At 40.9% G+C, this 23311-nt stretch overlaps 1 protein-coding gene across 21 annotated transcripts in view; it reads left to right on the top strand.

Annotated features, from left to right (window-relative positions):
• ME3 (malic enzyme 3) overlaps window positions 1–23311 on the top strand; it is a 237687-nt gene that overhangs the window by 89116 nt on the left and 125260 nt on the right. The gene's annotated exons all lie outside the window — the stretch shown is intronic.

The following is a 23311-nucleotide window of genomic DNA, read 5'->3' as shown; positions in this document are numbered from 1 at the left end:
CCCAGCTAACAACCACTGCCAGACATACTTCATTATACAAAGTAGATGCCCTACAAATTTTTGAGGAATGAATAGCATCACTTTATTTGATAACCATTTTCGTTTGAATGACAAATCACTACATCTTGTATTCGGTTGGTGCAAAAGTAATTGCAGTTTTTGCTTTTAATGGCAAAACCCACAATTACTTTTGCATCAACCTAATATCTGCTGTGTCAACTCCCCCAGTGGAATGTGAGATTTAGGCTTCATCATCTTTCTTTCCACGTATACCTAGCACTATGTATATCACACAGTCTGTGCTCATTAAATGAAAGAGGGAATGAATGAATGAATGAATGATTAGGCTGAGTAAACAGGGTGGGTCTGGTGGTGGACAGCTCAAAAGAGACAGCATAACCCTTTCTAAGATCCTTATCTGTAAGCCTTGGGTTATCTGGTTTGCATAAACTTTCAGCCATAAAAATGCTTCGGAAATTTGTTCCCTATAAAAAGCCAGCCTCTGATCTTGGTTTCTCACCAAGTTTTAACTGCCACTAACGCCCAGATACTTAACTTGAAGCTTCTGTTCTGTCTTCTTTTTTTTTTTTTCCTTACCATGGATAATACAGAGAAAGCCTTTTGTTTCAGACTCGGTGGAAACAACTGGGCCTCTGTGTTGTGTGCAGGTGAGGCAACTGATTTTCTCTAGTTATAAACTTACCCAGTAGCAGGACTCCCGTGGGGTTTTCTTCTAGGGGGAAAGAGATCTCACTACAACAGTGTCGGACCAGTGCTATCATTGTGCTTTAGCAGTATGCAGTTTTTATATTTTAAGGCACTAACATTAATAGATAATTACATTAAGTAGCAGTATTTTTCCTTCTTGTCATTGCTGCTCATTTAAAAAGTCCTATCTTTACTAATAAGTCAGCACTTATCCACTCTCCTTAGGAAATGCTCCAAATTGAATTTCTATTGAGATATTTCCCAAGGACAAGGTTGTCACCTCTACTTCTGAATGTGTGTTAAGGATTAGCATTTGTACAGGACTTTTATCTTTCTTCTGGTGCAGTTTCTCATAATCACCAGGGGTGCAGGTAAAAAGCCCTGGAATCAACATTTACAGGTAGGGGCCAAGGACTTGAATTTTAACCCACCAGCTAAGGTGCTTCTGATGCACACTGAATTTTTAATTTTAAATGTAAGTTTCAATCAATGTCTTCTTCATCCTCTAATCCACTATACTGATTAGTAGATGGGCACAGAAGGTCATTCCCAACAGAGGAACTACCACATGCACACAAAGAGGTATGAAAATGCCTGCTTCTTCTGGGAATGGTATAGTTTGCTCTATTAAAGGCCACCCATGGAAGAGTGGCTGGTGGCAAAGCCAAAAATGATGCACAGCTTATGAAGAGCCTTGCAGGCTTTGCTAAAGATGTTTTAAGTTAGCAAGAAAATTATCAGATTTGGTTTTTGGAAAATGACAGTCTGGCAGAAGTTCTAAAAGGTGTATTCCAGGGGCAGAACAGTAGGAGTGAAGACTAGAATTCAGGAGTTGCAGGATTTTAGTTTAATAGCAGACAAGGTGTGATTTCAATATTGGAAAGAACAGGGATTATAAGGAGGATGGATAACAGAGGAGGAAATTAGAACTATTCAGGAGATAGAAAATCACTGAACTTATTAATGACTTGACTGCATATATAGGTTGAGTGGTGAGGAATCCAGGGTGACTCTCCAGTTTTTACTGGGTTACTGGGTAGCTGGTGGTACCATTGCTGAGTAGGGAATGCAGGAAGATGAGCTTGGTTTGGGGCATGTGGTGTTTGACATGCCTCTGAGACATGTATGTGGGGATAGCCAGCAAGCAGATGAATGTATGCATCTGGAATTAAAATGATTCTGGGGACATAATGCAAAGCATTGCTCTTGCTTGCCATCAACTTTTTACCCAAACTGCTTCACTTAAAATGCAATAGTTGACATTAATTTAGTGAGTCCTTTCTAAGCATCAGGCACTCTGTTGCACACTTTACACACATTATGAGTTATTTTTTTCCTAGGGGAGAAAACTGAAACTTGAAAGGTTAAAATATACCTAGGCCATGCAGCTAGTAAGGGTCAGAGTTGACATTCAAACTTTGGCAGTCTGATCCATCACTCATAATCATTATCCTATGCTACAGTATTCCTCAAAATGTTTAAATCACAACCTATCGTTAAAAGTACACTTTATACCACAAGCTAGTACACATACATACCAATTACACATGGATGCATGTGTATACACACACATACACACACAAGCAAAAGTTTAGCAAAACAGTACTTTTATTAAATGTGAGGCAACCTGCTATTTTCTACTGAAATCTATATATTTTTTTAGATGTTGGTTTCTCCTTACTATTTCACGGCCAGAGTTGGATTGAATTTGACAAACCCTGCTGTATTTTATTCCCCTGGGGAGAATATTTCACTTCAATTCCCAGACTTTGTCATTCCTGCCTTTTGGAAGAGAACACTTAAATGTTGTTGTATGCTTCCCCCTTTTCCTCTAGAGAAGGTATCCAAGGTTAAAAGCTGGGATATTGTGGGATAAGGCCGACCAGGAAACACCTACTTTGGTAGACTGATCAAACCTTGTCTCTAATGTGGCTGACAAAGGTGATTGCAAAATGTCCAAAATCACAACAAAGAATGCAATGCTTAAAATTTGTGCAAAAAAATGATTATTTTGCACAAATGGACTGCAGTGGCCAGTATGGATGGCAGTGGCCAGCAGCACACAGACCTGTGTTTACATTCCAGCTCTGCTACTTATTAACTGTATAATCTTGGGTAGGTTTTCTATTTCGTAGGGATGTGGCAGAAGGACAAAACTGAAATAGTGCCTTAGTTCATTCTATACCTACCACAAGAGTATTTGATATTAAGACTGAAGTAGTGTTAATATCTTTATTAATTTAAGTTATAAAATACAGACCCACAAACTGAGCATTCATCTATAAAAGCAAATTAAAATTTCCATACTATTCAATGATGACCCAATCAATCATTCAGTCATGTATTTAGTCAATCAGCATTAATTTAGAACAAGCTATTACCTACTGGTAATTAAAAAGAGACTTTAAATATTAACTTTACTTACCAGAAGATACAGGTTTTAGAAAAGCCTGGTAGCCAAATGGCACTAAATGTAGTCTCAGGCATGCCATCATTTATTTTGAGGCATTTGGAGGAGAGGTCACTCTGCAGGTCTCTGTGAACATCAACATCGCTTCCTTCAGGGTCGACAATGTCAATCTAGAACAGCAGAGCCACACTTGCAGGAATTCCAGTGACCTTTCCGGAAATCAAGAATGGAAAGGAACAATTTGACAAGGTGCATGTAGCCCCTAAACATATAGATTCTCGAGCTAATCATGTTTATGAAATGAGAAAATATTTTTAAAGATTCTCAAATTCATAAGTGCAAGAATTAGATTCTATCTCAGAAAGGGACAAAGAAAACAACTCAATGTTGATTGTATCAGCTAAGCACTGGAAAGAAGGAAAACTCAAAAGGTTTGAAGTTCCAAGGTTCCATATTTTCTTTTCACTTTCTTTTAATATAAGTCTAATAAAAAATGGGAATGCCATTCAAACAGCATTCCCAATAGCTGAACTTCTAACTTGGAATCCATTGACCTTTGAGTTTCTCTATTAATTTTAGATCTGCATTAGGTCACTATCACCAGTTAAAATTTATCAACCACCTATCCTTAAATTCCAAATAAGTGGTACCCAAACTGTAATTATTAAGGAAAATGAATAGAATGGATTGAGGATAGAGATTAAAGGAGGAGGAATAAACAGGGCAGGAAATTCTAAGGACATTCCTAGGCTGCTGTGCCTCTCAGAAACACCAGGTTCATGAATCGGTTGTTCTCCACAGTACTCAGCATCTGGTAATGGCCTGGTCACAGCTGTGTTTAGTGAGAGCCTCAGATGTTCCAGCCAGTAGCTAGACACATGACACTCAGGGAGCTTGGCTATTATGATCTTCAGTCCCCCACTGAGGACACTGAGAACAGAGAGAGAACTTTAGAAAGTTCCCTGTGATCACATGGCCAGTTGGAGCAGAGACATTATTTGAAGCCAGGAACACCAACTCCAAGGCCTGATCTCCCTTCTCTGTGGCCCACTGCCTCTCATGGGCAAGTTTGGACCTGCACACCTGAGCTCTAGTAAATGTACCACTTGTGCTATTCTGCTGAGCATTGAGTCTGCTGGGCACGAAACCAGCCTACATAATTTGAAATTAATTCTGAAATATGAAAGGGTATAAAGAATACCGGTTCAAATGAAAAGATCATTAGACTGAAACTCAGTGAAGGCAGGGGCTATATATATTTAGTCTCTTAATGTATATCTAATGCCTAGTACAGAGCTGGTACTCAAAACATACTTGTTAAATGAATAATTCATTTAATATGAATGAATTAATGAGCCAACAAGGTGAAATAGAACTCAAAATTCAAGTCTCATTTCTAGAACTTGCTAGAGCCATGATTTTAGGCAAATCATTGAACTCTCTCAGCCTCAACTTTCCTATCTGCAAAATGGGAATGACACTTTGACAGCCTACCACATAGGGCAGTGGTTCTAATGAGTAGCAAAGTTTCAGAACTACTATCATAGCAAATAAAACTGCTTTGTAGACCCTAACAAAGCAGTGAAGTGTAAACAGTTGTTACAAATTCAGTCCAAAATGGCCTCTGGATTTTGGAACTCCTGCTTCTTGGTGTCAAGACAGAGAGGGTGACTGATCGCTGTGATCTCCTGTGCACCACAATGGTCCACTTTCTTCAGGACAAAATGACTTCCTTCCTGGTTCACCTGATAAGGTGGCAGAGTTGAGACTGAAGCCCAGGAGAATGAGGATTTGGTTCATATTAGGGCTGGAACAGGTTAACAGCCATCTGTTGGACACTTGCCCTGTCAGATGAGCTTGTCCTTGGTTGTCTCGTGTCCAGTTCTGGCACCCCGCCCACTTATTCGCACGCACCAGGAATGCATGTACAGTGCCTATTCTGAGACCCTCCCAAAGTGTGTCTGTTTGTTTTCTTCCTTCTGGTCACAGTTCATCTTTTGACCCAGTCCTCCCAAGCTGAGTCCATCAAAGTGCTGTTGTGTTGCTGGAGGAAAGAGGCTACTTCCCTTGTTCTCTGCTGCTCCCCTGCCTGTAACCTTCCTCTGCTATTACTTTGTTGCAGTCCAGCTGACTCAGAGGGCCATTAGGGTGCCAAGAACAGTATTATTTAAATTTTAAATAATAGTCTCTTGGGAAGAGAGGGTCATGAAACATTCAGAATAACACAGGGAATTTTGCCAAGAGAGTGATTCATAATCTTTCCAACTATCCACCTCTGTTCCCTTGTTCGGTCGGGATGGACAAAATCCTAAAGTCACCAAGTATTTCAGGAGCAGATATGAAATTTCTCTTGAAAAGAAATGGAATCTCTTCCACGCTGGTTCTTATCCAACAACTTCGCAAAAACTAATCTTTCAATAGCAAAACAATTGAAATAGCCATTATTCTCAAATGTTGTTGTATGGCATTTACTAGCCACACACCCTTGACATGTCATTGACCCATCTAAGCCTAGATATTTCCTCCTATAAATGGGGATAATAAAACCAGCCTGTCTAGGATCAAATGACGTAAGCCATATGAGAGCATTTTAGAAACAACGAAGCAGTAAAAATATGCAAGATATTATTTATCATTGGCAAAGATATTGGGCAAGGCATATAGACACTTGTGTAATGAATTTTATTTTTATAAAGCACTTGAGTTAATAACATAGAATATAAAAATGAGCTCATTTTTTAAAAAGTTATGATTCCTTTCACTTCCCCTGGAATGGGAAATTCTTCATTTTGGTTAATATGCTGCAGGAGGCACCAACTTAATACCAACACTGTGCCAAGTGAGGTTTTAGGAGCTGTGTGAGGAAAGTAGTGGCAGCCCTAGCATCTAGCAAGGCACCCAGAACAGAAGAGGCCCCCGACATTTGTTGAATGAACAAGTGAATGAATAAACAGGCTGCAGAACTTCCACTCTTCCATGGAGGAAGACAGTGTTTAGGAAAGCAGCCTGAACCTCCAGAAATCTAAGGTTGGGGTTGGCAGTCTTCTCATTCTCATTCAGCAGAGTGCTGTGAGGACCCTAGGAGGTGTGTGCATGTGACTCCAAGGCCCTCCTCAGCTTTGCTTTTCTGATCCCCTATCTGTGCAATCTCTTTGGCAATGATCTGGGTCAAAATGGACTCAGTGCTGTCTGAGTAACCTTGTTTCTCTAAATGATATTGGGTCATTTGCTTGTTTCCTAAAGCACAGTTGTGTCCATTGAAGGTGAAAACAGGCTTTAGAATGGGAACAGGGGAGGGGGAAATCCTGCCCAAAGAGTGATGAGATAAGAAGCTTTCCATCCTGCTTCTACCACAACAGGAATCCAGGGGACTTGGCTGATTATTTGAAAGGAAAGATGGCAGAATTGGGTTTGGAACATAATGAGCTTAACATTCAGGTAAAGAAAAGATGCAGCCTAGCAGTTTCCAAATTTGAATAGAATCAGAGCCAGCTAAGGGAATTTAAAAATACATAGGTTCTCTGATTCCCCAGCATAACTGCCAGTTTCTGGGGATGCTTTCAAGTGCTTTTGATGGTACAACTGCCAGGCTGGGACTCTTGGTCTACCAGGAAGAAGCACATGTGAGCCCTGAATGAAGAAGCACACAGCAAGAAATGTAGCTGAGGGAGGACTTCAGGCTGGGCCCACATTGAGGAGCACCCAATGGTGGTGCAGCAAACCAGAGAGGAGAGAAGGGGCTCTTACCAGTATCTCCAGGAAGGGCACATAAAGGAAGGAAATGGGACCAACAAGTCAGTCAGTACTGCAGGGGACAGTGCAAGAGCTGATCTGCCCTGAGCTTGCTCAGGCAGGCAGCACATGGAAGAAGTGGTCCTCCTGAGCCCCACTCTGAGATTTCAGCTGCAGAAAGCCCCAGGAGGGAAGGGTGAATAGAAGCAGAATGGACAGGAGAGGCTGGGTGCTGGGGATGGACACTGTTCCTCTCTCCACCTTGACCTCCTCTCGCCTCCAAAGGTTTGAAGTGCACTGAGGCAGAGGGGAGGCGGCAGTGCCTGTTACTATCATTAAGATCTGTGTGGCAACTTCTCTTGGCCTCCTCTCTTTAGTTACCTCCTGTCACCTCCTCCAAAAAGCCTTGGTTATCCACCTCCCCCAACCACTTTCCTCTAAGCTTCTCACAGAGAATTAATCATGTCCTCATCTTTGTTTTTAAGGAACAAATAACGATGTTAGCTACCTACCACTCACTGAGTACTTAGTGGTGAAGACTTGGCATATCTTATTACATATAATCCTCATAAATCAGCATTTGAAGCAGGGATTATTATTCCAGCTTTGTCGATGAGCAAACTTCTGTTCAAGAGTTGAATGATATGCTCAACATCACAAAACTAGAAGTTGCAGACTTTCAGACCCAGAACTGCCTGATTCCAAAGCCCAGCTCTTATTCACAATTTCACACTCCACTTTATCAACCACTAAGGGCCCCCTACACCAACTTTCTTGATAAAGTGGGACTCACAGACTTTCATTCATTTGTTCATTTATTTAACACATGCTATAAAGTACCTATGTACTAGCATTGTATTGCGGTTGCAAAAATGAATAAGACCAAGTCATGGCCCTGTCTTCGGGGAGAACAGACTCACAAATAGATAGTTGCAAGGCAATATGTTGAAGCCTGGTAGAGGCGTGCATGAAGCTCTGAGGGAGTGTGAGTCACTGCACCCAACCTGGGGGGGAGCACGTCATCCACTTCATCTCTGTCTCCTCTAAAAGGCAACCAAGTCCTCTCAGAAATGATTGCCAACAGTCCCAAGTTTATTCTTATCTCAGAGAAAGGGGCCAATGATGCTACATTAGTTATTCCTATCATTGTTAATAACTTTAATATTTATATTCCAAATCATTTCCTTGCACATTATCTTTGCTGAATCACCTACATCTCTGTAAAGTAGATGAGGTACATATTATTCCCATTTCCCAGACAGGTAAAACCAAGGTCTAGAGAAATAACTCCCTTTCGTAATGTGACAAGAGGGTAAGAACATTAGCTAAAGTGGACCCTCTACATCTTTGCCGCATTTATCCTAGTAACTTGGAACCAGAAGCTTACGTGGGGTGGAGGTGACAGCAAGCATGAGGAGTTCACCCTGGAGCACATTTTCCAAAGGGTTTTGTCTCCAATGGCTGTTTAATGCATTGGCACAACAGTTATTAGAAGCACATTTTAAAAATGTTAGAAGCTGTATGAAGACCTTGAGATATGTTTCAAGGGCAGAGAGTGATGCCTTTTTTACTATGACTGCTTCCCATACACTGAAAGCAGGCTGTGTCCACACCCACACCTTGCTGCATCTGAGAACAAGTTGGCCCCTGCCCAGGCTGGACAACCTGTCAGGGTTGCAAGCTGCCAGTGTTCACAGAAAATGGAGTGAACATCCTTGGAATTTGCAGATACCTTCACATGGAAGGCTTTTTAAAGTGGTACCTCCTTTGAAACTCAGAAGCTTATAAAGAAAACTTCTTCAGCAGCTGTTTTACAGAGTTTTTTGACTTTAAAAACTTTCCCGCCCCTTCCTTTTAAGAGCGACTACGAGAAAGTTGACGTACTGAGTCTTCTCTCAGATTACAAGAGGAAGCCTCCACATGGGAAGCCTAGCAGTTGTCTGGAATGCTGTGACTTATGACTCTTCTGTAGTCATATGTCACATAGGAACTCTGCCGGAAAAAGAGTTCTGACTGGCATCAGGCCAGTGCCCCTCTGGGACAAAGCTTCCAGAGGAAGGAGCAGGCAGCAATCTTTGCTGATCTGCAACCTCCACTGGTGATACCCAGGTGAACAGGGCTTGGAGTGGATCTCCAGCAAACTGCAGTAGACCTGCAGAAGAGGGGCCTCAGTGTTAGAAGAAAAATAAACAAACAGAAAGCAAATACAACAACAACAACAACATCAACAAAAAAGACACCCCCCCCCCCCCCGGCAACAAATACCCCATCCAAAGGTCATCAGCCTCAAAGATCAAAGGTAGATAAATCCGGGAAGATGAGGAAAAACCTGTGCAAAAAGCTGAAAATTCCAAATGCCAAAATGCCTCTTCTCCTCCAAATGATCTCAACACATCTCCAGCAAGGGCACAAAACTGGATGAAGAATGAGATTGACGAATTGACAGAAGTAGGCTTCAGAAGGTGGGTAATAACAAACTCCTTTGAGCTAAAGGTACGTGTTCTAACCCAAAGGAAGGAAGTTAAAAACCTTGATAAAATGTTCCAGGACCTGCTAACTAGAATAACCAGTTTAGAGAGGAATATAAATGACCTCAATAAATCCTCAATAAAATACTGGCAAACTGAATCCAGCAGCACATCAAAAAGCTTATCCACCACAATCAAGTCAGCTTCATCCCTGGGATGCAAGGCTGGTTCAACATACATAAATCAATAAACGCAACATATCACATAAACAGAACCAATGACAATAACCACATGATTATCTCAATAGATGCAGAAAAGGCCTTCAATAAAATTCAACATCCTTTTATGTTAAAAGCTCTCAATAAACTAGGTATTGATGGAACATATCTCAATATAATAAGAGGTATTTATGACAAACCCATAGCCAATATCATACTGAATGGGCAAAAGCTGGAAGCATTCCCTTTGAAAACCGACACAAGACAAGGATGCTGTCTCTCTCCACTCCTATTTAACATAGTATTGGAAGTTCTGGCCAGGGCAATCAGACAAGAGAAAGAAATAAAGTGTATTCAGATAGGAAGAGAGGAAGTCAAATTGTCTCTGTTTGCAGATGACATGACTCTATATTTAGAAAACTCCCGTCTGTCAGACCAACAACTCCTTAAGCTGATAAGCAACTTCAGCAAAGTCTCAGGATACAAAATCAATGTGCAAAAATCACAAGCATTCATATATACCAAAAAAAAAAAAAGACTAAAATGTAAAACCCAAAACTATAAAAACCCTAGAAGAAAACCTAGGCAATACCATTCAGGACATAGGCATGGGCAAAGACTTTATGACTAAAACACTAAAAGCAATTGCAACCAAAGTCAAAATTGACAAATGGGATCTAATTAAACTAAAGAGCTTCTCAACAGCAAAGGAAACTATCATCAGAGTGAATAGGCAACCTACAGAATGGGAGGAAATTTTTGCAATTTACTCATCTGACAAAGGTTTAATATCCAGAATCTACAAGGAACTTAAACAAAATTACAAGAGAAAAACTACCAACCCCATCAAAAAGTGGGCAAAGTATATGAACAGACACTTCTCAAAAAAGACATTTATGCGGCCAACAAACATATGAGAAAAAGCTAAACATCACTGATCGTTAGAGAAATGCAAATCAAAACCACAATGAGATATCATCTCATGCCAGTCAGAATGGCAATTATTAAAATGTCAGGAAACAATAGATGCTGATGAGGCTGTGGAGAAACAGGAACACTTTTACACTGTTGGTGGGATTGCAAATTAGTTCAACCATTGTGGAAGACAGTGTGGCAATTCCTCAAGAATCTAGAAGCAGAAATACCATTTGACCCAGCAATCCCATTACTGGGTATATACCCAAAGTAATATAAATCATTCTACTATAAAGACACATGCACATATATGTTTATTGCAGCACCATTTACAATAGCAAAGGCATGGAACCAACCCAAATGCTCATCAGTGATAGACTGGATAAAGAAACTGTGGTAGATATATATGATGGAATACGATGCAGCTATAAAAAACGAGATCATATCCTTTGCAGAGACATGAATGAAGCTGGAAGCCATCATCCTCAGCAAACTAACACAGGAACAGCAAGCCAAACGCCGCATGTTCTCACTCATAAGTGGGAGTTGAACAACGGACACATGGACACAAGGAGGGGAACAACATACATCGGGGCCTGTTGGGCAGTGGAAAGCAAAGGGAGGGAGAGCATTAGGAGAAATACCTAATGCATCCAGGGCTTGAAGCCTAGATGATGGGTTGATAGGTGCAGGAAACCACCATGGCACATGTATACCTATGTAACTAACCTGCACACTCTGCACATGTATCCCAGAGGTTTAAAAAAAAAAAAATTCCCTTTAGTTATTTTGTCCAGGGCTGCCCGCAAGTAAGAGCCTTCATACACCAGGTTGCAGACTATTTCATAGCTTTACTGGATGCAACAAAGCCCAGCAAAACCCAGCTGTGAGACGTGCTAGTTGTTTCCAGTATATACCCACATGGGCTTCTGGGAAGAAAGATTCATTCTTTGTTCCACCTGTTATAGGAATTCCTGCTCCTTGGATTTTATTTTTCTATTTTACATTCAGTCATTTTGTTTTGTCTCCTCATCCTTGACTTTTTAAATCACTCACTGTGAAAGTTGTGCTGCCTCTTCTGAAGTTTCCCCTTAGCCTCACATCGTTAAACTTCCCTTCCTTGGAGGAGCTGGGCTGGCCAGAAAGAGGATCCCAAGCTCCTCTGAATGCCTCTCCTGCCTGCTGCCTCCCAGGTGTGGCCACAGGCCCTTAGGGCCCTTCCCTTGCATTACGTTAATCTCTAACTCCTATTTACCCTGCCCTCCCCAGCTTACTCCACAAAACAAACCATCACTCTGCATCAAGGCAGATCAGGGTTTCTCCACCAGGTGGCCAGAGCCGGACCCAAAGTCAGGGTTCTGAGTCTGCAGTTCCCATGCTTTCCATTAGGCCAGGCTGGGAGTGATCCGCCATGTGGGAAAGATCTGCACTGTCCAATACAGTATGTGACTCTTTATATTTAAATTAATTAAAATTAAAGGAAAATACAAAATTCAATTTCTCAGTTGTACTGGCCACATTTCAAGTGCTCAATAGCCACAGTGTGGTGGTAAGTGGCTACCACATTGGACAGCGCAGATACAGAACATTTTCCTCATTGCAGCACTGAGCAGACTAATGTTGCTGTTCTAGTGAGGGCAGGCTGCCACAAACTAGTTATAGGAATGGCTCACCTAGAGCCTACAGAGAACTGGAACCTTCTATATCTTTCCATTGCTGGTTCCCCAAGATTTAAAATAGGACCAAGCACAGAAGACACTTAATACTTTTTTGTTGAAGAAATGAATGAATCCATCCATCCATTTATTTATTGAATACTTATCCTGTATCAATTACTGTGCGAGGCAGAAGGAATATGCAGTTCATTGAGACAGAGTCCCTGACCTCAAAAAACTTATCATCTTGCAGGGAAAAGAGTCAAGAAGGGACTATGAAGTGCAATTGCCAAATTGCTTATAACCCTTAACCTAAAAAGATTTAAAACTGTAATAGGCACAGCCTTTTAAAAACTTTTTAAAACCTCATCTTTGAATTCACAGAAATTTTAACATTCTCCTTTGACACAATGACCCAGTAAAGGCAGCAGAGTCAGAGAAGTCAAGTAATTTCTCCAGGATCACACAGCCAGGGGAGGAACTGAATGCAGAACTTTTGTTGTCCAGTTCCCTTCCCACTCCCCCATGCTGGCTGTGTGAGCACAGCACCTCCATGTACTGGCTGAATCCCATGGAAGGAAAATTGAATCCTATCTCCCAACCAGAACAAGAACTTCTGTGTACGTCATACATGGAAGGTTGCAGGCAGTGCAGCCCATGGCACCAGAGCCCAATCTTTGAGATTTAGGCTGGTTTAGAGTTGGTTCTGGGCGGTAATGAGCAGCATATCCTCCACTCCCCTCTTAGGAATTTATGATGTGTTTCTGGATCTGTAATGTTGCACCTGATCACAGAAATATGTCTGGGAGGAAGGCCATTCTCAGGTCTGTGTCTGCGGAGACTTCCCAATGCTGTGTTTCTGAGATCCCCATATATCCATCTCAGGAGTGTGCTCAGGGGCTCTCATAAAGCTGGGGTTCAGTGCAGGGAACAGCAGCCTCAGTAATCACATTTCCTGTCTCCAACCAGAATCCCCATCACCCTAACTCATAAAAATCCCAAACAAATAGAGTCAAGAAGGAATATGCACAAGGAGGAGGAAATGCCTCCTGGTCCCCTAACAGCTCATCAGCTTAAACTGTACAATCTCAGAGCTAATTGCCCACAGCTCTATCCCAGCTATGCTACCCTCTATGCTGCCACGGTTGATTGATGGAGGAAGCCGGTTATAGCATAAGCAGTCAGCTCAGAGCATGACGTAATGATGTATGGAACAAAATACCTTTACTGTTACACGGTGTCTGCTAATCCTTCCTTCCAGTAATGATGCTGGTAAAAGGAAACATGGCTGTGTGTGTGCCGTGGGCCAGGTGCATGAACTCAGAAGTGCAGGCACACCTGTTTGCAGGTGGGCTGACTGATCTGAGGCAAATACAGAGGAATGCTCAACAGTAGCTGAAGTCTAAGATACCTGGCTCTGTAGGTAAAAATAATCACATCCCTAATCAAAAAAACTCAACTCAGTCAACAACTTTTAAAATCTTTCAAGTCTTGAAGCTGTTGATTAGCTCAGAGGAAAGACTCAGAAATTTGGAAATATTTAGGCCTGGGTTCTACTCCTGGTTTTCCCACCAGCTTGCTGTGTGACCTTGGGCAAGTTACTTACCACTCTAACCTCAGTTTCCTAGTCCACAAAGTGGGGATAATAATCATCATACCTTCCTGCCGGAGTCAGAGAATGAGAGGACACGATGAGTGTAAAGTATCTGTCTCAGTGCCTGACCCAACCTAGTGGGTATCCAATAAAAGGTCATCATTGTTATTATGGATGATGATATTATGTGCAATAACCTTGCATTAGCTTCTTCAAACTCTCTACCTCCCCACCACCCTGAGTTTATTATCTAGTAGTTACAACTCAAGAAATCAAATAGGAGACACATCGCATGTGCTAAACTGTGTGACACTGACTCTGAGAGAAGGGGGAGAGCTGTGTGGAATGGTGGAGGCAGGGAGGCCTCCTGGAGGTTGCAGGTAGTCGACTGTGGATTGGAAGCAGGGGAGGAGGAAGGGGTCAGAGAATGGGGAACAGGGGTGCTGGTGTGAGTCAAAGCGCAACAGCCAGAATGCATGTGTGGGAAGAACACACAGGGCTGCAAAGGCCGGCGTGGTGCCTGAGCCCATGGACAAGCAGTTACGTTGTGATGTGGTAATGTCACTTCAGCCACTGTCTTGCAGCCCCTTCTGCCAGACTAGCTCTGGACCGTCCTTCAAGGCTCCTCTCCAGCATCTGCTCATGAGCTCTCTTATGTCACCCTGCCCCGTGAACACAATACTAATAGTAATAAGGAGAACAGCTGGTGTTCACTGAACCCTTCCTATGTGCCAATATCTGTGCTAAGCATGTTACCTGCATTATTTCATCTAATCCCACAACACATGAAATGGGCAGCACTTCATTTAATAAGTGGGAGAAGCAGCTTGCCCAAGGCAGAGGCCCAGGATTGGTATTGTATGTTAACCCACATGTCTCCTCTAGTAGACACTTGAGGACAGTGACCAGGACCTGTTCTGTTCAACAATCCCCAGTGCCTAACATGACAGTCCTGGCCCAAAGTAGGAACTCATGGGTGTTTGTTGAATGAAGGAGAAGAGATTGTCAAGTACACAGTAGGGCTCTGGGTCTAGAGGCACTAGGCAGATCACAAAGCAGTACTGGGAGACTGACCCCTGGACAAACTCAGACATAAGGAATGGGCACTGGGAAGCCCAGGCCTCTGAAGAGCAGAAGGCTGGGACAGAAGCACCATCTAAGGGGCTTGCTGCCTTTGCGCCCTGCCATTTGATGGTGGGAGCTATTGAAATATCCTCCCTCTGATGCCAGTAAATTTCATCCTGGTAACTTGGGCATGGCTGAGCCCATGGGTAAATAGAGTTCAGTAGCTGAACCAGAGATGATCATTCAGGAAAGCTGATGAAATAGGTAAAGTCAGGAGTGATAGGTAAAAGATTTAAAATGGTTCGGCATAAGCACTGACCAGTCGAAATGGTCACAGGTCTTTAGTGCTAGGGAAGGGTCTTGAGGCCTCCTACTATTCCAGACATTAACCCATTGGTTGTTAGATCTTGAGGAGATCCAAAGGTTCCCTGGGAGAATCCAGAGCAGGTGGGGACTACACCTGACTTGGAGAGGTCAGAGCAGTGGCCCTGTAACAGATGAGACATTCAAAACTAGTAACAATAGTCAGGTCCCTACCAGCATGTCCTCGCTGAATTCCACAAGGGTATTAGGTTAAAATATGACTGTGAGAATCAGCCATTTTTCAAAAGCCGCCTGTCTTATATTGAGAGTTTTGTTAAAACCAGATAATATAATCTGTAACTCTATTTACTAGACACACGGAAACTGTAACTTCTCAATGTGGTAAGAATGAATAAGGGCCCCAGCATCAACTCCTCTGACTTGTACATGTTGTACAGTCCCTACTCTTACCTTCAGACCCCTCATATACCCCATGACTTTTTTACATACACAGAACAAGCATCTGAGTGCCGATTAGCAAAGTTTATTTCTTTTGTAGAGAAATATAAGTTCTCACACTTCCCCCTTAAGCCCTAGTGAACTGTCTTGTGCCTGTCCTATGTTGGAGGCCGTGGTGCAACTACAGTGCCTTCATTTCTGCTTTGCAGACTTGTAAATCTGAGGTTGCCTTAATATTAGCTTCAGGATGAAAAGTAGCTTCAAGAAGTATTATCTTGTAATCCCTGAAATTACCAGCTGCTAAACAGTCATCCCTTTTCCTCAAATACAAAAGAAGGTGGCGGCAGTCAGCCAAGAAAAACATTTCTCCTTGTAGAGAGAAGTGGACTGTTCTGAAAAGCCACAGTGATCATTAACAAAGATGATGTCATAATTAGATACCTGGGCCTCCCTAAGGTGCTCTGAGCCAAGGAAAGATGATCATAGTCTTTACCGAGGCAGTGAACAGTCGCCTGCCTAAAGGCTTTTGGTGAAAGTGCCCAGTCTCTGGCACTCTTTTATGATAAGTTGTCCTTATTACTTTGTAAAAATACAAAAGAAGCCCAGTATTCAAAGTTTTACAGATCCCAAATTACAAAATAAAGAGGAAATTGGGAGTAGCCAAGGAGTCTAACTTTCATTCACTCTTTTCCTCCCTTCCTTCCTTCCTTCCTTCCTTCCTTCCTTCCTTTCTTTCTTTTCTTTCTTTCTTTCTTTCTGACAGAGTTTCACTCTTGTTGCCCAGGCTGGAGTGCAGTGGCATGATCTTGGCTCACTGCAACCTCCGCCTCCCAGTTTCATGCGATTTTCCTGCCTCAGCCTCCCGAGTAGCTGGTATTACAGGCATGCACCACCATGCCTGACTAATTTTGTATTTTTAGTAGAGATGGGGTTTCTCCATGTTGGTCAGACTGGTCTTGAACTCCCGACTTCAGGTGATCCACCCGCCTCAGCCTCCCAAAGTGCTGGGATTACAGGTATGAGCCATCGCGCCTGGCCACTCTTCTTTTTTTATCCACTCCTTTCTCACAACTCCCCTGACACCCCACCACATTTTCTGAGGTCCGTCTCACCAACGTCCTGGGAGGATGTGTACTATAGTGGCAAGAATACAAATGGTTTTATCACTTACCTCTAGTCAAAGAAAATCATCAGGAAAAAAATTATCACACCAAATATACTTATTTATTATAAAATGCATCCTGGTTTAAGAAGCAATAGAGTGTGAAGTAACAGCCGTGGAACTTCAGGAGCATTATGTAACCTCTCTTGCTTAGCCTTCTCATCTGTAAAGGGAAGGTTGTAAAATCTTCCTCACAATGTGGCTGTAAGGAAAGTATAGAATAAGATTAGATATTCATTAAAGTCTCTTCTTTAGAACTGATGATAGCAATACCTCTAAGGTGAGGATAATCAATATATGGGTTTGGATCTCCCTATGGTTAGTAATTCCCTATCAAAGGGGTTGTAATAATTTTGGATGAAATCATTTTGAGGTGGCAGAGGAATGAAGGGAGCTCTGATGCTCCCTACCTTTGTGAGTTTCCTTTCCCCAAGGAAATCTGGGGGAAGCTGCCTGTCAACAGCATAATCGAGGTCTCGTTTATCACCTGCACAGTTTTCTTCACTTTTTGGAGGAAACTTGCATTATTTGGGACTCAGTATAGATAAAAGGCTTAACCAGAGTTGCCCCAGCTATGATCAGCCTTAAATTCAACAGGGGTTACATTAGCAGGCCAGCACAGTCCCCATGGGGATTCTGGCCCCTTCCTTCTTGATGTCTGCTGTCCACGGAGCCACTCAGGGGATCACTATTGTCAGTGTTGCTAGGGCCTCCCATGAGAAAGCTGAGTGTGTTCAGGAGCTCCAGTGCCAGGGCAGCCCTCACTCCAGCAGGGCCACCCTGAGTTCTACACAGAAAAAGTCTCTGTTTTTCACCATGTGTTGCACCTTCTCATCTTGGGATAAAGGTGGGGCTGCACGTGTCCCATTCTCACAGTGTCTCTTATGAGAACAGTTCCTGCAACTTCTTCCAGCAAACATTGTCTCTACAGGGCTTGATTGTGACCAGGTCAGAGATTCCATGACATCTTATTCCCCATCTCTCTCCCCAGCATTCAAACTAGAAAATGCTGGTCTGTGAAAGACACTGCCAAGAGAATGAAAAGACAAGCCACAGACTAGGAAAAATATTTACATAATACATGTCCAGTAAAAGGCTTATATTTAAAACATGCAAAGAAATATTTAAAAAAGTTTTTAATATAATTTACATACCATACAATTCACCCATTTAGAGTTGTCCTTTTGTGTCTGGCTTATTTTACTTAGCATAGTGTTTTCAAGGTTCATCCATGAAGTAGCACAGAGCAGAACTTCATTCCTTTTTATAGCTGAATAAATTTTCATTGCATGTATATACATTTTGTTCATCCATTCATATGTTGATGAACACCTGGGTTATTTCCACATTTTGGCTATGGTAAATAATGCTGCAATGAACACTGACATATAATCATTCGTTCAAGTCCCTGCTTTCAATTCCTTTGGGTATATACCTAGGAGCAGACTTGCTGGGTCATATGGTAATTCTATGTTCAGCTTTTTGAGGACCACTACGCTTTCCATACAGGCTGTAATATTTTACATTCTCACCAGCAATGTACCAGTCAGAGTTTTCATTTCTCCACATGTTCATCAACACTTGTTTCCTAGGGGGGGTGTGTGTGTGTGTATGTGTACGTGTGTGTTTTAATTTCAGCCATTCTAGTGGATGTAAAGTGGTACAGTGTATCATATTGTGGCTTTGATTTGCATTTCTCTACTGACTAATAATGTTCAGTGTCTTTCCATGTGCTATTGGCCATTGGTTTATCTTCTTTAGAGAAATGTCCATTCAAGTCCTTTGGCTCTTTTTAAATTGGGTCATATTTCTTTTTGTTGTGCTGTAGGAGTCCTTTGTATATTCTGGATATTAAACCATTATCAGATATGTGATTTTCAAGTATTTTATTCCATTCTACAGATTGTCTTTTCACATCCTTGATAGTATCCTTTGATGCACAGACTTTTTTTATTTTGATGAAGTCCAGTTTACCTAATTTTTCTTTTGTTGCTAGCCCTTTTGGTGTCATAGCTAAGAATCTATTGCTAAATCCAAGATCAGAAAGATTTACCCGTTTTCTTCTGTTTTATGGTTTTGGATCTTATATTTAGGTTGTTCATCCATTTTGAGTTAATGTTTGTGTATAATGTGAGTTAGGGGTCCAATTTTATTCTTTGCATGTAGAAATTTAGTTGTCCCCACACCATTTCTTGAAGAGACTATTCTTTCCCCCATTGGATCGACTTGGAATCCTTGTCAAAAATCAATTTGCCATAGATGTATGAGTTTATTTACGAACTCTTTATTCTATTCCATTTACCTATATGTCTATTCTTATGCCAGTCCCACACTGTTTTTTTTTTTTTTCCTGTAGCTTTGTAGTAAGTTTCAAAGTCCCTTTTTAAAAAAAAAGATTTTGGCTGTTCGGGGTCCCTTGCTAGTCCATGTGAATTTGAAAACTGGCTTTTCTATTTCTGCAAAAGAAAGGCCATTAAAATTTTGATAGTGATTGCATTACAACTGTAGATCAGAGAACACTTAAAATTTAACAATAATGAAAGAAACAAACCTTAAATGGGAAAAATATTTGAACTGATACTTTACCAAAGAAGATATACAGATAGAAAATAAACATATGAAATACCTAGGAATACAGCTAACCAAGGAAAAGCAAGATCTCTACAAGGAGAACTACAAAACCCTGCTGAAAGAAATCAGAGACAATACCAGTAAATGGAAAAACATTCCATGCTAATGGATTGGAAGAATCAATGTTGTAAAAATGGCCATACTGCCCAAAGCAATGTACAAATTCAATGCTATTCCTATTAAGCTACCAAGGTCATTCTTCACAGAACTAGAAAAGCTATTCTAAAATCCATGTGGAAGCAAAAAAGAGCCCAACTAGCCAAGCAATCCTAAGCTAAAACAACAAAGTTGGAAGCATCATACTACCTGACTTCAAACTATACTTAAAGCTACAGTAACCAAAACAGCATGGTACTGATACAAAAACAGACTTGTAGACCAATGGAACAGAAGAGAAAACTCAGAAATAAAGCCACACACCTATAACCATCTGATCATCAACAAGGTTGACAAAGACAAGTAATGGGGAAAGGGATCTCTATTCAATAAATGGTGCTGGGATAACTGGCTAGCCATATGCAAAAGATTAAAACTGGACCTCTTCGTTTTACCATATATAAAAATTAACTCAGTGCATCTAAGATTTAAATATAAGACATCAAACTATAAAAAAATCCTCAAAGACAACATAAGAAATACTCTTTTCAACATCAACTTTGGCGAAGAATGTTTGACTAAGTCCCCAAAAGTAATAGCAACAAAAAGAAACAAGAAGACATATAAGTGTCCAACAAACATGAAAAAATGCTCAACATCACTGATTATCAGAGAAATGCAAATTAAAATCACAATGAGATACCATCTCACACCAGTCAGAATGGCTATTATCAAAAAGTCAATAAACAACAGATACTGGAGAGGCTGATGAGAAAAGAGAAAGCTTATACACTGTAAATGTAAATGTAATGTAAATTAGTCCAGCCACTACGGAAAGCAGCCCAGAGAGTTCTCAAAGTTAAAACAGAGCTACCACTGGACCCAGCAATCCCATTACTGAGTATATGCCCAAAGGAAAATAAATCATTCTACCAAAAAGACACATGCACTTGTATGTTCATCACTGTGCTATTCACAATAGCAAAAACATGGGATCAACTCAGGTGCCCATCAATGATAGAGTGGATAAAGAAAATGTGGTACATATATACCATGGAATACTATGCAGCCTTAAAAAAGAATGAAGTCATGTTTTTTGCAGCAACACGAATGCAATTGGAGGATAATCCTTAGTGAATTAATGCAGGAACAGAAATCCAAATACCACATGTTATCGCTTATAAGTGGGAGCTAAATATTGAGCACACATGGACTTAAACATGGGAACAATAGACACTGCAGACTACTAGATGGGGGAGGAAGGAGGATACTGGAGGTTGAAAACATACATATCAGGTACTATGCACACTACCTGGGTAATGGGATCTCTGCCCTAAACCTCAGCATCATACAATATTCCTGTGTAACAAACCTGCGCATGTACCCCTGTATCTAAAATAAAGGCTGAAATTTAAGGGAAAAAAAGAAAAGATACTCAACATTATATGTCAATAGAGGATTGCTAATTAAAGCAATAATGACATATCACTGTACATCTACTAGAACAACTAAAATCCAAAAAACTGACAATACCAGTTGCTGGAGAGGATGTAGAGCAACAGAAATTCTCATTCACTTCTAGCAGGGATGCAAAATGGTACAGCCACTTTAGAAAAGTTTGGCAGCTTCTTACAAAGCTAAGCACAGTTTTACCATATGATCCAGCAGTTGCACTCCAACATATTATCCAACTGATTAAAAAACTTATGTTCTCACAAAAACCTGCACAGGAATATTTACAGCAACTTTATTTATAATCATCAAAAGCTGGAAGCAACCAAGCTTTCTTCAATAAGTGGAGAAACAAACTATGGTATAAATGTACAGTGGAATGTTATTCAATGATAAATATACATGAATGAACTCTAGGTGCGTATTTCTAAGTAAAAGAAGCCAGTCTGAAAAAGCTACATACTTTATGCTTCCAATTGTATGACATTCTAGAAAAGATGAAAATGTAGAGTCAGTAAAGAAGGTCAGTGGTCGCCAGAGGTTTGGGGAAGGAAAGAGAGATGAACAAGTAAAGCCCATGGAATTTTTAGTGCAGTGAAACTATTTTGTATGATACTGTCATGGTAGATGCATGACATGCATTTGTCAAAACCCATAGAACTTTACAGCATAAAGAAGGAACCTTAATGTGTCCAGATTTTTAAAAAATTATTTAATAGGTTGGGGGATTCCAGGAAGGAATGCAGACTATGACAAGAGAATCTAATTGTATTACAGATGTATGTAACAATCTCAGTGAAGAGGGTAGAGGGAAAAAGTTTTGACTTGAGTAACTTCGGAAATGAGTGGAGTTTATTAGACTAAAGGCAAAAGGAACTGCACATAACCACTGTACTCTAATTTATAAAGTTGTTTCCCACAGTGGTACAGGTTAACCATTTTGAAACTGCTATATGTGTATACTGAAATTAAGCAATTAAGTACATAAATGGGAGATGGTCAAAGCCAAGCTTTTTATTGTTGGAGTGGGAATTCACAGTTTAGCAAGGTGATGGGGCTAAAATGATCCATGTGGTAATGAATTCACATTGGAGACATTAGTATGAACTTATGTTCAGCTTAATATAGGTTCTGATGGTTAAATACAGAAAAATTTATAGATATGTGGTTATACTCCAGTCTTAATATACACATGTATATTTCCTTGCTCTGTCAACTGACAGGGACTAGAAATAAGCAAGGGACACAAGTAGTAAATAGTGCCCAAATCTTGCCTTCTAATACCATGCTCTGAAAAAGGAATTGGGGATCCTTGGAGAAATGGCTTAGTCTAGGACCACGGCTGGCAATGTACAAGATGAACCTGGAGCATCTTGTAGTGCCAGAAAGTAAGGAATTGCAAAACAAAAACAAAAACAAAAAAACAACCAACCCACTACTGCTACATTATGGGTAGTATGTCAAAGAAATCCAAGAGCCAGCTGAAAACACTCCCAATGGCCAAGGCTAGGAGTAACTTTACAGTGGAGAAACCTGACAAGCATGACTTTTGGCCACTGATCAAGGTCCGTATCAACAGTGATAATCACATTTATTATATGTACCCCTGGTCTGATGTGATGAAAATGGCACTCTACTTCTGTGATCTTCCTTCCAAAAACCCATAACCAAAATCCAATCATGAGAAAAACATCAGACAAGTTCCAGTAGAGGGGTATGTGCAAAATACCTGACCAGGGCTCCTCCAAACTGTCAAGGCTGTCAAAAACAAGGGACATCTGGGAAACTGTCAAAGCCAAGAGGAGCCTAAGGAGACATGATGACTAAACTTAATACAAGATCCTGGATGGGTCCTGGAAATATATATATATATATATATATATACACACACACACACACACACACATACACACACACACACACACACATATCATTATATACATATATTTATCTATCTATATACAGTTAGATAAAAACTTTAAAAAATCTGAATAAACTAAAGGCTTTAGTTAATAATAATGGATCATTACTGGTTCATTGACTCTAATGAACGTATAATACTAATGTCAAATGTTAATAATCGGGACACTGGCTGAGGGGGTATATGGGAACTCTACTGTCTTCTCAGTTTTTCTGTAAATACTGTTTGTATTAGTCCGTTTTCACACTGCTATAAAGATACTACCTGAGACTAGGTAATTTATAAATGAAAGAAGCTTAATTGACTCATAGTTCCACATGTCTGGGGAGGCCTCAGGAAACTTACAATCATAGTAGAAGGTGAAGGGGAAGCAGGCACATCTTACATGGCAGCAGGACAGAGAGAAAAGGAGGAAGCACCAGACACTTATCAAACAACCAGATCTCATGAGAACTCACTCACTATCACAAGAATAGCATGGGGAAAACTGCCCCTGTGATCCAATCACGTCCCACCAGGGCC

The sequence above is a fragment of the Homo sapiens genome, chromosome 11 (genome assembly GCF_000001405.40).
Source record: "Homo sapiens chromosome 11, GRCh38.p14 Primary Assembly".
Classification (NCBI taxonomy): Eukaryota; Metazoa; Chordata; class Mammalia; order Primates; family Hominidae; genus Homo; species Homo sapiens.
Note: the sequence above shows the minus strand (reverse complement) of the source record. Positions and strands in the feature narration are given on the sequence as shown.